This window comes from Homo sapiens, chromosome 4, assembly GCF_000001405.40.
Source record: "Homo sapiens chromosome 4, GRCh38.p14 Primary Assembly".
Lineage (NCBI taxonomy): Eukaryota > Metazoa > Chordata > Mammalia > Primates > Hominidae > Homo > Homo sapiens.
The window spans coordinates 137081205-137096428 of record NC_000004.12 but is presented as its reverse complement, the minus strand read 5'-3'; the positions used below and the strand labels follow the sequence as shown (position 1 = coordinate 137096428).

Here is a 15224-nt window from a genome sequence, read left to right as displayed (position 1 = left end):
TTCTAGGAGAAGCACTACTGTCTTAGGTGATCCCATCAAGTCTCATGATTTAAAATAATATCTTAACCAGGAATAAGCAAACTTTATTGTCAAATGGTAAATAATGAGGCTATTGGATCACACTGTCTCAATCACAACTGTGCAACTTTGTCAATGTAGTGTGAAAGCAGCCATAGGCAATAGGGAAACTAATAGGCATAACTGTGTTTCAATAAAACTTTATTCATAAAAAAAGGTGGTGGCATAGATTTGACCCATGTTTCATACTTTATCCTAATCTATACCATCTAAATTCTAATAATTCTCAATTATATATGTTTATCTATGATATTACCTCATAGCACTGGATACGTATATTTAAGTGTCTACTAAATATCTCTGCACAAATATCCAGTACTTAGCTCAAACTTAAACTCTTCCACAGTAGCATACCTGATATCTTCCTCACATCTCGGTCATTCAGTGTTCATATCTTAGTAATTAGCAGCCCCAGATACCTACTTGTTCAAGCCAAAAATCTTGGAGTACCTGTTTGATCTCTCTCTTTCTATCTCTACCCTCATCCCATCCATCAGTAAGGTGTGCCATCTGTATTCTCAAAATATGTAATGAATCTGACAACTTTTCACAATCTTAACCCTTCCACTCCCCTACCACCACCAAGTACACAAGACCGTCATTTTACTCACACTTTAATGCAACAGCCTCTAACTGGTCTCCTTACTTCTAATATTTCTCCCATTTTGTGAATTTTCTACAAAGCAGGTGAGACTTGTGCTTTAAAGAATAAATACAGATTATGTCTTTTTCTTGATCAAAACTCTCAAATGGCTTCACTTCACATTCATAACAACTTCCAAATACCTTATCATGGACCTATGTAAGTCTGTTGGTGTCGTCACTTTCTAGCTTTCTCCTTCCTACTCCTAATTTTGCTGTAGTCATAGTTTTCATTTTACTTTCTTGAAGGTGCCAAATTAATTTTTACCCCAGGTTCTTTGTACTTACTCTTTCTCTTTTAATAGTGAACTTTATTGAGACTTTCATCTGGCTTGTACAAACTTCAGGAAGTTCCTGAGACTACTTCAGGTTTTCATAATTCATTAGAAAGACTTATAGAGCTGAGAATAGCCATTATACTCATGAATGCATACTGTTACACTGAAAGGATATTGATTAAAACTAGCAACAGAAAAACAGGGCAGAATTTAGGATAACCAAAGGTAGAATTTTCATTTGTCCTCATAGTGGTATCATGTGGACAGTGTTCATTTCTCCCTAAAACAGCACTTGATGATATGCATAAAATGTTGTCAACATAAGAATGCTATACTAAGCATTAATATCCAAAGATTTTATTGGGGATGCATCAGATACACAAGGCTGAACACTCACACTACTGACCTTAGACTCCAGCCCCTTTAGAAGTTGAGCTGTTACTCTGTGGCCCAAGACCCCCTATAATAAATCACATCATTAATATAGAATATTTAGCATGGTCCCAGGCCCTCAGGAAAACAAAGTCATTCATAAGATGGAACTTTTCAAGGACTTAGAGGTTACCTCCTAGGGGTGGGAGCAAAGAGCCACTTTTCTTTGGGCACCATTAATCTTTTACTGCACAGCTTGCTTCCTCATTTTATCCAAGTCTCTCTGATGAACACTTACTGGAACACCTTCTCTAACTTCATAATGTAAAATGTCCACTAGCTCCATCACTCCCCACCATTCTGCTTTATTCTTTTCCTCATGTCCCTTACTAAAAAATGACATGCTTATGTATTCATTTATTTGTGCTTGTCTACTGAAGTAGAACATGAACTTCATGAGGGCAGAATTTTTCTCTCGTTTACTATTACATCTCCATGGAGTAGGCCCAGAAAAGGTATTTTCAATGAGTGAATCTGAAACATACTCTACTTATGTATTTATGAATCTATATATCTATATCTATAGTAATCTCTTGAACAATGTCTAATATATAATTAATATTTTGGGGGAAGAAAGAAAACCAAAACTCATAAATTATTTTTAATACCCTAGTATTTTCTAAATCACATGGAGTCTAAAATATAATGTTTGTTTTATTCTATATGAGGGATCATCAGCTTTTGATAAATGTCATAGTCTCAGAATTTTAAATAAGGATTTGTTATTTTATAATTTAAAATATTTTTAATATTTTAATAATTTAAAATAAATTGTTGATTTAAACTGTGTTTAAGTTTTTTGAAATGTAGTGTTTTATTTCACTAATAGAAGTAATAGATTAGTTTTTTAGATCTCTTTCATGAAGACTAGAAATCAATATTATTTCTTCATTACATATCAAATTGTATAATTTATTTTTTAAAAAGTAAAAAGTAAACTATTAGTGTTATATGCAAGATCATTTTAAGAAAATAATTTTTTCCCAGCATATGGGGAAAGATTGGGATAAATAGCACTTATGTGGACATCACCAAAAAATTCACATACAGAAAAAATATGTAACACAATTGCTCAATCCTAAATATAAATTTGAGCAGGCACTGAGTATGTCCTTTGGAGGGAAATATACTAACACTCATATATTTTTATTATTCTGGTTTTTCCACTAATTGTAAAAGAATTACTAGGTATTTTATTACACTCTCCTCTGTAGAAAGCCTACTTAGTATCTTTCTATTCAAAGAAATCCACAAGAGTGGGGCAATAATGATACAAGATACCTTGAGCTGAAAATTTTACATTACCTCTTACTGAGTAATATAGTATTTAAATAAGTTTTTTTCTCTGTCTATGAGAAAATTAGCTTTTGCTTATGTTAGTGACAGAAGAGGAAATTGTCGCAGAGAACAAGCAATTTTGTGTGACGCTCACAAAAGAGGGAGGACATCTAACAAGCAACATAAAGGTCATCTGAATATTTGATTTTTAAGGGAGATAAAAGTAATTGTGGTAATTAGCATTTGTAATATTTATTTGATTACATAAATCATCATAAAAGCCTTCATGTTGCCTTTATAGAACTAAATGACATCTAATACAAGTCAGATTCTACATTAGAGAAAAATAACTAGTCTAAATGGTGAAAGTGATTTGGAGGTTAGCAAAAAAAAAAAAATACAATTTTACCTTTGGTATTTTGTAGACTTATAGAACTGATAGAAACATTAAATATTACCAAATTCAAAATTCTAACGTTTCAGATGAGAATCAGAAAAGCTTATCTTAGTACTGGAAAAGGTGCTCACAGATGGAAGCCTCATCTTTATTAACTGTTAAATGCAAGCAAAATGTGGTAAATAGTTTTGTAGCTTGTGAAATATGTTCTAGGTTTTTAGGTTGCATACAATTTTGTACTTTAACCAAGTCATCATCCAGTCCTTGTTTTTAAGCCTCATTTTGTCTTCTGTATGCAAGTATTCCCCTTAAATACCCCTGTGATTCTTTTGTCCTTGGAAGACCAACCCCTATATGTCACCCCAACCACCTATCATAATTACCAATTGCTTCATTTCTCTGGGCTGCCATTGCACTAAGCTTGAAACCCTATAACAGTACATGCTTTTAAATTTTTTAAAATTTGTTTGCTGAGCATATCCTCCACAGCACCACCAGTGGAATCTTCTTGGGAAAAAAAACACCACATTCGATTCCAAGTTTAAGAACCACTTTCTACAAGTGAATGAATAGAAGGTTATTAATTTTGCCTGACAGAATAGGTTACAATAAGAAGTGACACCTAAACAACCTGTTTAAAAATGTTCTCTGGTACGCAATAGCCTACATTAAAAAAAAAAAAAACTTCTAAATCTCTATATAGCATTTAAATTGTAATGTTTGGTTTTATCCAAGTCTTCTGATTTTCATTCGTGCAGAAACTTTGGTCTCTCACAACCCACATGCGGCCATGACTTGGTATCTTTAACATGTCATTTGCTCATTCCTTTGCTCACACTCCTCTCTCCAGACCATGCAGTGGGCTCTTAATAATAATTCCAGTCTAAGCTGGAGTGTGACTTTCTTGCTGAGAATTGCCTCATTCACTCAGGCATAGTCACTGTTTTATTTCTCATAACATTTTGAGAATTATGAGTAGCTTATTACACTTTTAGTAAAAGTTGAAATTCTTTTTTTTAATTATTATTACACTTTATAGGGTACATGTACACAACGTACAGGTTTGTTACATATGTATACATGTGCCATATTGGTGTGCTGCACCCATTAACTCATCATTTACATTAGGTATATCTCCTAATGCTATCTCTCCCCGCTCTCCCCACCCCACGACAGGCCCCGATGTGTTTGTTTCCCACCCTGTGTCCAAGTGTTCTCGTTGTTCGGTTCCCACCTGTGAGTGAGAACATGCGGTGTTTGGTTTTCTGTCCTTGAGATAGTTTGCTCAGAATGATGGTTTCCAGCTTCATCCATGTCCCTACAAAGGACATGAACTCATCCTTTTTTATGGCTGCATAGTATTCCATGGTGCATATGTGCCACATTTTCTTAATCCAGTCTATCATTGATGGACATTTAGGTTGGTTCCAAGTCTTTGCTATTGTGAATAGTGCCGCAATAAACATATGTGTGCATGTGTCTTTATAGCAGCATGATTTATAATCCTTTGGGTATATACCCAGTAATGGGATGGCTGGGTCAAATGGTATTTCTAGTTCTAGATCCTTGAGGAATCACCACACTGTCTTCAACAATGGTTGAACTAGTTTACAGTCCCACCAACTGTGTAAAAGTGTTCCTATTTCTCCACATCTGTTATTCTTTATAAACTCTCTCCTCCGGACATGTCCTAATGCTCTTGTCTTAAAGTTTTCCACTGGCTACTCCTGCCTTCAGTGACCTCCATGCATACATCCACATAGCTATTGTCTTCACAACCTTCCAATCTTTGCTCAGATTCTGCCTTCTTAACGAGACGTATCTTGACAACCATAGTTTAAATTGCTATTGTGTACCAATCTGTTTTATGACATCCATTTCTTCATAATATTTATTATTTTGTAGAAAACTACACAATTTATTTATTTCATTTATTTGTTAATGGTATAACCACCCATTAAAATGTAAGTTCCATCAGGGGAAAATGTTGTTTTGTCTGTTTTTTTTCCCCATTGATGTGTACCAAACCTATTGAATGATGCATTTTTAATAAATATGTATTGACTAAATGAAAGAGGAAATCTGGAGCAAGATGCTTTGCCACCTTAGCCTCTATTTCCCTGTATTCAAAGCAGAGGTCACGAGAATTCCTAAGTGAGAAGGCTATTGTGACTAATAAATGAGATAATGCCTTTAGAGCAGTCAGCGCAGTGTCTGACTCATCATCTTCAATTAATAATGCTAGCTCCCGTTGTTAATCATGTTATTATTTTCCAAATTTTTAGAATTCAGAAACCTAAGTTGTTAATTATTAATTGTACACAAATGAAAAAAGTAAAGGAGAAAAATCTAGGAAAAGTATCTGTAGGTAGAATTTATAATATAGTTATATATTTTTTACTTCACAAAAGTGAACAATGATATTTTATGGCATAAAATAATACCTGAAATATTAAAGTATTAACAAAAGTATTTTTAAAAAATTCCAATTATTCCTTTTATAGCAATATAAAGAATGCAATTCATCATTTGTTTGAACTTATTAGAAGTATTAGTTTAACACCATGTTTGTCAAAACTTATCTCACAATAAGTAAAATACCATTAAAACTTAGGACATATATATTTGTTTTTTTAATTTTTAAAAACAACCTCAGAGTGGTATACATAGTCTTAAAAAATAAATTATATGTTATTGATAGAGTTAAACTCAGCAATTGTTTGCCCTAACCTTCTGCATGCCCAGCTCTGCTCACTGAGGCTGTATTAATGTCTGCTCAGAGCTGTTCTGTTGCTTGCCTTCACATAGCTAACACATATGTTTATACTGTTATTTTCTGATTCATCGACTATAGATATTTTTCTATTGTCCTTGGCTTGTGATAGATGAGCTATTAACTTATTTCTCTACCCTCAACTCCCCTCCCACCTTCTTTATTCCAATTCTTGATAATTTTAATATCCTAAAAACTTTCAATTAATTTTTCTTGTTACTTTTTTAGAAAACCTACTGAAATGTCCAAATTTTAACAACTATAAACATCATGTTTCCAATTTCTATTTTGTGAGAGAAGCATGTTAGTGCCTCTATCCTCACATTAATTTTCACTTTAAGACTGATAATATTTATATCCTATTATGTTACAAATAGTTAACTGTGTTTTGCTTTCTGCACAGTTTGATCCTAAAAGTTGAAAATTAAAAATTGGTTTATTATGATGATTGTGTAACTGTTGTTCGATTCAGAACGAAGTATTGTACATAGTTCCATTTCCTCTTCTAGTTTCTAATGTCACTGCAGCTGTGCCGTTCAATAGTGAATAGTCTTACTGTCAATGGCAAGTGTATTTTTACTTTTTATATTTCACTAACTCTTAAAATCATGCTGACTTTGTGTTTACATGTTTTTGAACTATGACTATATTTTACAACAGTATAATCGTCAATCAACAATCGCTGATTACAGTTGTTTTTGGTTCTTCATAGAACCCTAAGTCCTAACATCTTTTAGATAGCTGGATAGTCATCTCCTAAAAACCAATTTACCATATAGTTTTAATTTACTAGCATTTAACTTTTCCTCATAGCAGCATTTAAAAAGGACTTAACTGACCTCTCCCCCATTCCCTACTGTTGCTTTAGGAGAATAAGGGGTGAAAAGAAGTTGAGAATTAGGCCTTAAAAAAATATTCACTATTTTTGTTTTTTTCTCTCACTTTTCCAGAATCGATGTGCAAATAATTTCCTTGGGAGGAACTCTTTATGTAAGTAAATGTCGAATAATTTTGCATTAATGAACTTTGCTTATCAAGTAAAAATTGATTAATAATTTGTTGAGATATAGAATTCTAGATTTTATCACATTTTCCCTCTCTGCTTTGAGACCTTGCTCCGCTGTCTGCTAACATTTCCTCTCACTGATGAAAAACATAATGCTGTTCTGATTCTGGTTTCCTCAAAGTTCACTTGCCTGTTGTTTTATTGTTTGCTGTCTGAAACCATTGGGAAAATTATTTTTGCCTTTAATGTGTAACATTACACAATAATTTATGTACATGTGATTTATTTAAGTCATATTTGGTGTTCAATGCTCAGTTAATCTGTTGCTCTTTTATAGAATTGTTTCCCTTCTATACAGTTATTTCTGTGTTCAAAGTGGCAGTTAGTTTTTCAAAAACACTTTCTTATTTTTTCCCCTTTCCTAATTCCCTGTCCTTGTGTTACAAAGTTAAAGCTTCTTGAATTTCTAGAACATCTTGAAATCCTCTGAACATACTTACACACACACACACGTGCACACGCATCTCCTTATAACATTCTTTGCCTTTGAAGGTAGACTTGTTTATTCTGATCTTTCTTTCTGAATCCTCAGACTTTTTTAACCCTATTTTTTTTTTAATAATGAAGGAATAAGTTTAACCGGATGCTTGAAGTTAACAGGCAGAATGTGGCAACCCATGGCATTACTTTAGTGTCAGTTGCTATGGAATAATAACAAGGACACTGTTTTAACATGGTGATATACACATTAACAGTTTTATTTGTATCCTGAGAGTGTATTCACTTTTTAAAAGAATATTTTGAATTAGGATAAGGGGCTTCATTTTCAGTCTTCTAGTCAAGTGTTTGTACATATGTTTGGGTGTATACCAATACACAACACATCACAAAGCATTTGTGAGAGAGAACTAAATTCATCCTAAATTTCAAGTTCACATTTTATTACGGCCTTCATTTATAGATTTATAATGAATATTCTAAATTAGAGAATGCTGCCCTCACCTCTTGATCTATAGATTTCTAGAAGAAAGAGAAATTTATTTGTTCCTATGTGTGTGAAAGATCTACAGAGAAGGGAGTATCTCTGTAATTAATGCTTTTCTAAAACAATACCATTAATCTTTTTTTCTGAAACTATTAAAATGAATTGTGAATATTTTATAACAAATTAAACATAGCAGTTTTTCATTAGATGGGACAGAGAAGCTACAGTGGCATGTGAAAGATTTTTGGAAATTTATTTTCCAAACAGCTTACATAATTAAATTGAATGCAAAGAAGAAATTATCTGTCATTTTTTCCCTTACAATTGTGTTGAATTGCCAAAAGTGTCTAATTAAACAAAGATCATGGAAACATCAACACCTCAATTCATTATTTATGCAAACATTTGTAGAGACGAAAATTGTAAATTAACATTATATCAAGTTCTACAAATATTGTCTAACTCATGTTTACAGATCGGTATTAGATTTTGTGAGACTACTGTTAGCACATATAATTAAAGATCAGAAGATTTAGTATTTACCATAGAAAATAAAGAGCGAACAGATAAGAGTAAGCTATGGTTTATTATCTTTTTATTTTTCATTAGAAGAAATATTTTAGGTAAGTGCAATTCAAGCTTTAAACCTGGTTAAGTAGTTTAAATGATTTCTGGTAAGAAATTATTTGAACTTGACTTCTGAGTTAGCCATACTTCTTTCTAAAATGTAGCTATCAAATTATGGGCTTTTTTGTTTTCATATTCACTGGAAGTATATTCTACATCTTATTTTGATGTAATAGAGAATAGTTAACTTTTGTTGGGAGCTAAACTGTACCATTTTTCCATTTATTAACTCTTTTATTCTTCACAGTCCTATGAGAGAGGTGCCATTATTATCTCAATTTTAAAAACTAGGACATTGAGGCAGAGATGTTAAGCAATTTGTTAAGGAAGGCCACACACATAGGAATCAAACACCAGAGGCCATGTTTGTCCTGCCTTTCACCATGTAGGTCTCATTTAATGACATTTACATATTTTATTTACTTTTCATACAGTACTACCAGTTAGACGTGTTCCCCAATTGTCAGATGAGGAAACTGCAGCCCAGAGAGGTTAATAAATTTCTCCCATGACACTCAGCTATCAAGTGGTAGAGGTGGAATAGCATTTTCAGAGAAAATTCCATCACTCCACTAGAATGCAAGATCAATGAGGGCAGTGATTTCACATGGAAACTACTAAGAGTGTTAGTCCTGGAAATTGTAATTATAGCACAAATGTATATTTATGACAGCCAAAATATTATGTTATTTTTAATTGGAAGTGGTATCATGGATAAATATTCCATAGTATCTTATATTCGACTGGAGCATATACAAATCATACAATCATATCTTAAATACAATACATATCATTGTATAGAGATATCATTACATATTATTGTGTAGAGAACTCTAAGAAAACCTGGAAAGATAATCAAGAGACTTTTTCATAATTGCATTAATTTGGGAAGTGGAGTTGCCAAATATTCAAGGTGACTAACCTCCTTCCCATGCCTTAAATTAACTAAAATATTTGAAGAGATAAACAAAGTGAAGAGACAACCCACAGACTAAGAGAAATTATTTGCAAACTCACAGCTGACATGGGATTAATAATCAGAATGTATAAGAAGTTCAAACAACTCAATAGTGAAAAAGTTAAAAGTGAGCAAAAGATCTAAGTAGCCATTTCTCAAAAGAAGACATACAAATGGCCAACAGGTACATTAAAAAAAAAATCAACATCACTAATCACCTGAGAAATGTAAATCAAATCACAGTGAGATATCAACTCACCACAGTTAAAATGACTTTTATTAAGAAGATAGGCAATAATGGATGGTGGTGAGGATGTGGAGAAAGGGGAACCCTTGTACACTGTTGGTGAAAGGTAACTTAGTAGGGCCACTATTGAGAACATTAAGGAGGTTTTTCAAAAAACTAAAAATGGGGCAACATAGTGAGGCCCCATCTCTACAAAAAATAAAAATTAGTTGGATGTGGTGGTGCATGCCTGTAGTCCTAGGTACTTGGGAGGCTGAGGTGGAAGGAATGCTTGAGCCCAGGAAGTTGAGGCCGCAGTAGGCTATGATAGCACCATTGCACTCCAGCCTGGGTGACAGAGTGAAACTCGGTCTCAAAAAAAGGAGAAGAAGAAAACTAAAAATACAACTACCATATGACTCAGCAAACACACAAATATTAAATGCATTTCTATACACTGACAATAAACAATTGAAAAACAAAATAGAAAATGCAATGCAATTCCCAATAGCACCAAATAAAGTAAAATTATTACATGTAAATCTGACAAAACATCTGTAGGAGTCGAGAGCTTAAAGCTACAAAAGTGCTAATGAGAGAAATGAAAGAAGACTATTTTGGTGTGATGGTTAATATTGAGTGTCAATTTGATTGGATTGAAGGATGCAAAGTATTGATCCTGGGTGTGTCTGCAAGGGCGTTGCCAAAGGAGATTAACATTTGAGTCAGTGGGCTGGGAAAGGCAGACCCACCCTCGATTGTGGGCACAATCTAATCAGCTGCCCTCGAATATAAAGTAGGCAGAAAAGCATGAAAAGGCGAGACTGGCCTAGCTTCCCAGCCTACATCTTTCACTCGTGCTGGATGCTTCTTGCCCTCAAACATCAGACTCCAAGTTCTTCAGTTTTGAGGCTTTGACTGGCTCTCCTGGCTCCTCAAGCTTGCAGACGGCCTATTGTAGGACCTTGTGATTGCATAAGTTAATATACATTTCTCTCTTATTAGTTCTGTCCCTCTAGGGAATCCTGACTAATACATTTGGAAAGATCTATTTCATTCATCCTACAGTAATCAAGAACATGTAGTATTCCCAGAAGAAGATACCTATAGATCAATGGAACCAAATAAAGAATCCAAAAATATATCTACACAAATATGTCTAAATAATCTTTGACAAAGAAATGAAAGTAATTCAGTGGAGGAGTGGTTTCCTGCCAAAAAAAGGCACTAGAGCCATTTAACATCCATCATCAAGAAAAAAAAAGATTCTTAATGTAAATTCACACCTTATACAAAAATTAACTCATAATAGATCATGGGCTTAAAGTAAAATTATACAACATAAAAATACGTGGTATACATTTATTATAAACTATAAATCATATGTTTATAATGTATACCACATACTTATGTGTACATATAAAAATATGTATACCACATATTTATATGTATATATAAAAATACATTTATAATATATGTATGAAAAACATCCATGGCCTAACCCCAGAGTTTTTAGATATGACTCCAAAAGGACAATCCACAAAAGAAAAAATTGGTAATTGACCTCATTAAAATTATAATTTTTTGCCTTGTGAAAATCTTTTTTAAGGCAAAAAGTCAAGATGCAGACATGGAGAGTATATTTATTAATCTTAGTCAACAAAGAACGTGCATTTCTACTATATAAAGAACTCTCAAAAATCAACATTGAAAAAAATACAATTAGAAAATGAGCAAAACACATGAATAGATGTTTCTCCAAAGAAGATGAAAGATGTACAAATTTATTAAATATTAGGAAAGTAAAATTTAAATAACAATAACATCACTATACATATATCAGAATGGCTGAAATTAAAGACAGTGATAATACTAAATGTTGGTGAGAATGTGGAGAAACTGGATCACTCGTACACGGGAATGTGAAATGGTTTAGCTACATTAGAAAGTATTTTATCAGTTATTTTTAAAACTGGTCTTAGTATATGACCCAGCATTTTCATTCTGGGGAATTTATGCCAGAGAAATGAAAATTTATTTTCACATAGAAGTTTGCACATACATATTCATAGCAGGTTTATTTTTAATAATGTAAAACTTTAAACTTCCCAAATGTCTTTCAGTAGGTGAATGGTCAAGCAAACTGTTATACATCAACATCATGAAATACTGTTCAGCAATAGAAAGAAACAAACTATTATGATATATTGATATACAAATTTAATAAACCTCAAGAAAATTATGTGATGTGAAAACAGCTGATGTCAAAGGCATACATGTTGTATGATTCCAGTTCTTATGAAATAACGTAACTACAGTGATGGAGAATTAGTGATTGCCAGAGGTCAGGGAAAGGATAAGGGCTAGGTGTGGCTCTAGGGATAAGTATCTTCATTGGTGGAATGGTCATATAAAGCTACCCTGTGATAAAATTATATCAAGCTATACACACACAAACACCCCAACATGAATGCATGTGCCACTGGTGAAAAGTACATATGCTCTATGGATTGTACCAACATCAGTTTCCTTGATGTGATACCTCATTCTATTTACACAGATGATAAAAGAGGAAGAGGCTGGGTAAAGGGTACATGGGGACTCCCTGTACTTTTTTTTTTTTTTTTTTGCAACTTCCCATGAATCTATATTTATTTCAAATAAAAAATTTAAACTTTAAGTGAGGCATTTGGATTTTATTTTTATAGGAGGTGTTAGATAGGGATCTGTTTTAGTTTCCTAGGGCAGTGCTATAAATAACCACAGACTGGCTGACTTAAAACAACAGAAGTTTGTTCTCTTACAGTTCTGAAGGCTAGAAGTCCAAAATCAGAAGGGAGTCTCTTTTCTGGAATCTCTGAGGCAGAATTTGTTCTCCTAGCTTCTGGTGTCTGCTGCAATCCTTGTACTTTCTTGACAGCTGCCTCACTCCAATTTCTGCCCAGTGTTGTCAAATAGCATTCTCCGTGTGTGTGTGTGTGTGTGTGTGTTTATAAATTTCATTTCACTTATTACTTTAGTCATCAGAGTAGGGCCTACTTTGATCCAGTATAACCTCATCTTCATTTGATTATCTGCAAAGAGTATTTCCAAATAAGGTTACATTCACTGGTACTGGGGGTAAGCTATGTTCTAAGAATTTATAATCCAGCAGAAATGACGTCAAACTAGTTTACCAACTTTTAAAATCTTTTACCATTTGGCTCATACAGTCAATTTCCCACATCTATCAAATAACTATTTTGGACTCTAATTAAGTATATATTTTAACACTCTATACCATACTAATTTCAGCTTCCTTCTTAATTTATGTTCCTGTTCAGAGTAATATCCCACCTGACTTCAACATTTTCTAATTTGATAGATTCTTTAAGATCCAGATCATGAAACATCCTTTAATATTTAGAACCAAACTTTGCTACATTTTTTCTGAAACTCTTTTGTAATTATAATTAGTACTGTGGTTTAGCATTCTGTTATTTCCAAAAGTGCCTCACCAAGTTTTGGCTTCATGTTCAGAATGTAGGCTCAATGAAGTCTGTGCATATGCTGATTAGGTCTAGAGTTGTATCTTGTGTATGCCCCTTCAAGGGTAATGGTGAATATATAAAAGACACTATTAAATGACTGATTGAATATGAAAATGTATCTTTAAAATAGAGAGGTGAGAAAACTTACACATAGATTCTGAATAAATGTTTATCTTCTTATAAAGTAAGAGAGAATAAAGACACATGAATTAAAATTGCACACAGTTGCAGGTTTAAAGAGAATAAAACGTATAAACAATGTAAAAAACTATTATGTAATGGAAATGTTTTATTTCGTCTACTGTGATTTCAAAGTTGCAGTTGTTTGCAGCAATACAGGAATAAAAATAGATTTCATATAGCAAAATGGAGCTAGTCAACAAAAATAAAAGAGATTTTGGTGCTTACATGTCCATTCCCTCTCTCTCTTTCTTCTGGAGTCTTTGTAATCTTATTCCTAGGCTAATAAAATGCAGCCTTTCCCCCTTAGTTTCCTATTTATTTTTCTTGGGATCTTGAATTACCTCAGCTTCCAGAAACTTTACCCAGTGGAATCTGCAGAAATGATCTGTAAGATCTTATGTTTAGAATGTTGATTATATAAAATTTAACAAATTGTAGTTTTAGTTTACCGTTTTTGATTCTTATGACTTAGATATTCCCCTTAATGTCATTTTAATTTCATTATGTTTGTTATATTTTGACTGTCATTATGGCTTGTTTTATATCCTATGTTAATTACTTTGTTTCTCTTTAAAACTAATTTTCTCCTTCACTACTCAAGGGGATTCTTTCTCTCACACAGTAAAAGAAAAACCAACAACTTCTCTAAAATATAAACAAACACTAGCTTCAAGGAGGAATAATTCAATTCACTACCAAAATATCTGTTTTGTAATCACTATGTATTTACAAAGCAACATGCAAGGCACTGCATATGGCTACAAAAAAACAGATATGGGGCAGTTATTGGCCTTCCAGAGCTTACAGTCTTGCCAAATGCATGAAAATAAACATTCATTTAAATGTATTACAGATGAAGTAAAATGATAGGACTAGGAAAACTACGTAGATATACACACATTCAGAGGACTGAGAGGAGATAGAGTAGGGATGAGAAATAAAGGATCAAAACAAAAAAAAGGTTAAGGTATTTTTAAAGATTTATTGGATAATCCATTTTTTAAATAGGGAATAAAAGAGATGATTCTAACAGATACAGTAATTGAGTTTTGAGGAATCCTGCATCTGCTCTCTAACCATTTTAGGCCTTAAGAAAATTATTCTACTTCTTAAACCTCAGCCTTTTGCTGTAGGTGAAAATTAAATATAAAAAGACCACCTACCTTATGAAGCTTTTATAAATGTTAAGTGGGAGTCATATAAAAACTTCAAAAATTTTACATAGTGTTCTATATTTTTTCTTTTTTTAAATTTTTTTGGCAGAAAATCTGGGATTGTTTTTATAGGAAAAATGTCAGTATGGATAAAGGTAAACATCCTATAAATATTTGCAAAATAAACTCAGAAATATATTAAATATAGTATATCATGCCCAAGTAAGGTTAATCCCAGGAATGCAAGGATGGATTAGACTGATTAGAGAATCTACTTATATAATTTTCCTTATTTAAATTAAAGGGGAAAATGTAGGTACATAACCGTGGAAAAACCTTTGATCTAAAGTCAATCGCCATGTATCATAAAATATTTAAGCAGGCTGGGCAGTGTTTTATGCCGGTAATCCCAGCACTTTGGGCAGCATAGCGAGACTCCCATCTCTATAAAAATAATAATAATAATAAAAAATAGCCAGGCATAGTGGTGTGGGCCAGTAGTCTTAGCTACTCAGGAGATCAAGGTGGAAGGATCTCTTAAACTCAGGAGTTCGAGGCTGCAGATGGCCATGATTGCGTCATTGCACTCCAGCCTGGGTAGCAGAACGAGCCCCTATCTCAAAAACAAACAAACAAAACAAAAACAAAAAGAAACTCCTAGCAAACTAAAGATAACA

At 33.1% G+C, this 15224-nt stretch overlaps 1 long non-coding RNA gene across 1 annotated transcript in view; it reads left to right on the top strand.

Annotated features, from left to right (window-relative positions):
- The window catches only part of LINC02511 (long intergenic non-protein coding RNA 2511), a 416898-nt gene that overhangs the window by 116371 nt on the left and 285303 nt on the right, over positions 1-15224 (top strand). The window contains exon 2 of the long non-coding RNA NR_149105.1: positions 6829-6868. This is a non-coding gene — a long non-coding RNA (long intergenic non-protein coding RNA 2511). The remainder of the gene's footprint in view (positions 1-6828; positions 6869-15224) is intronic.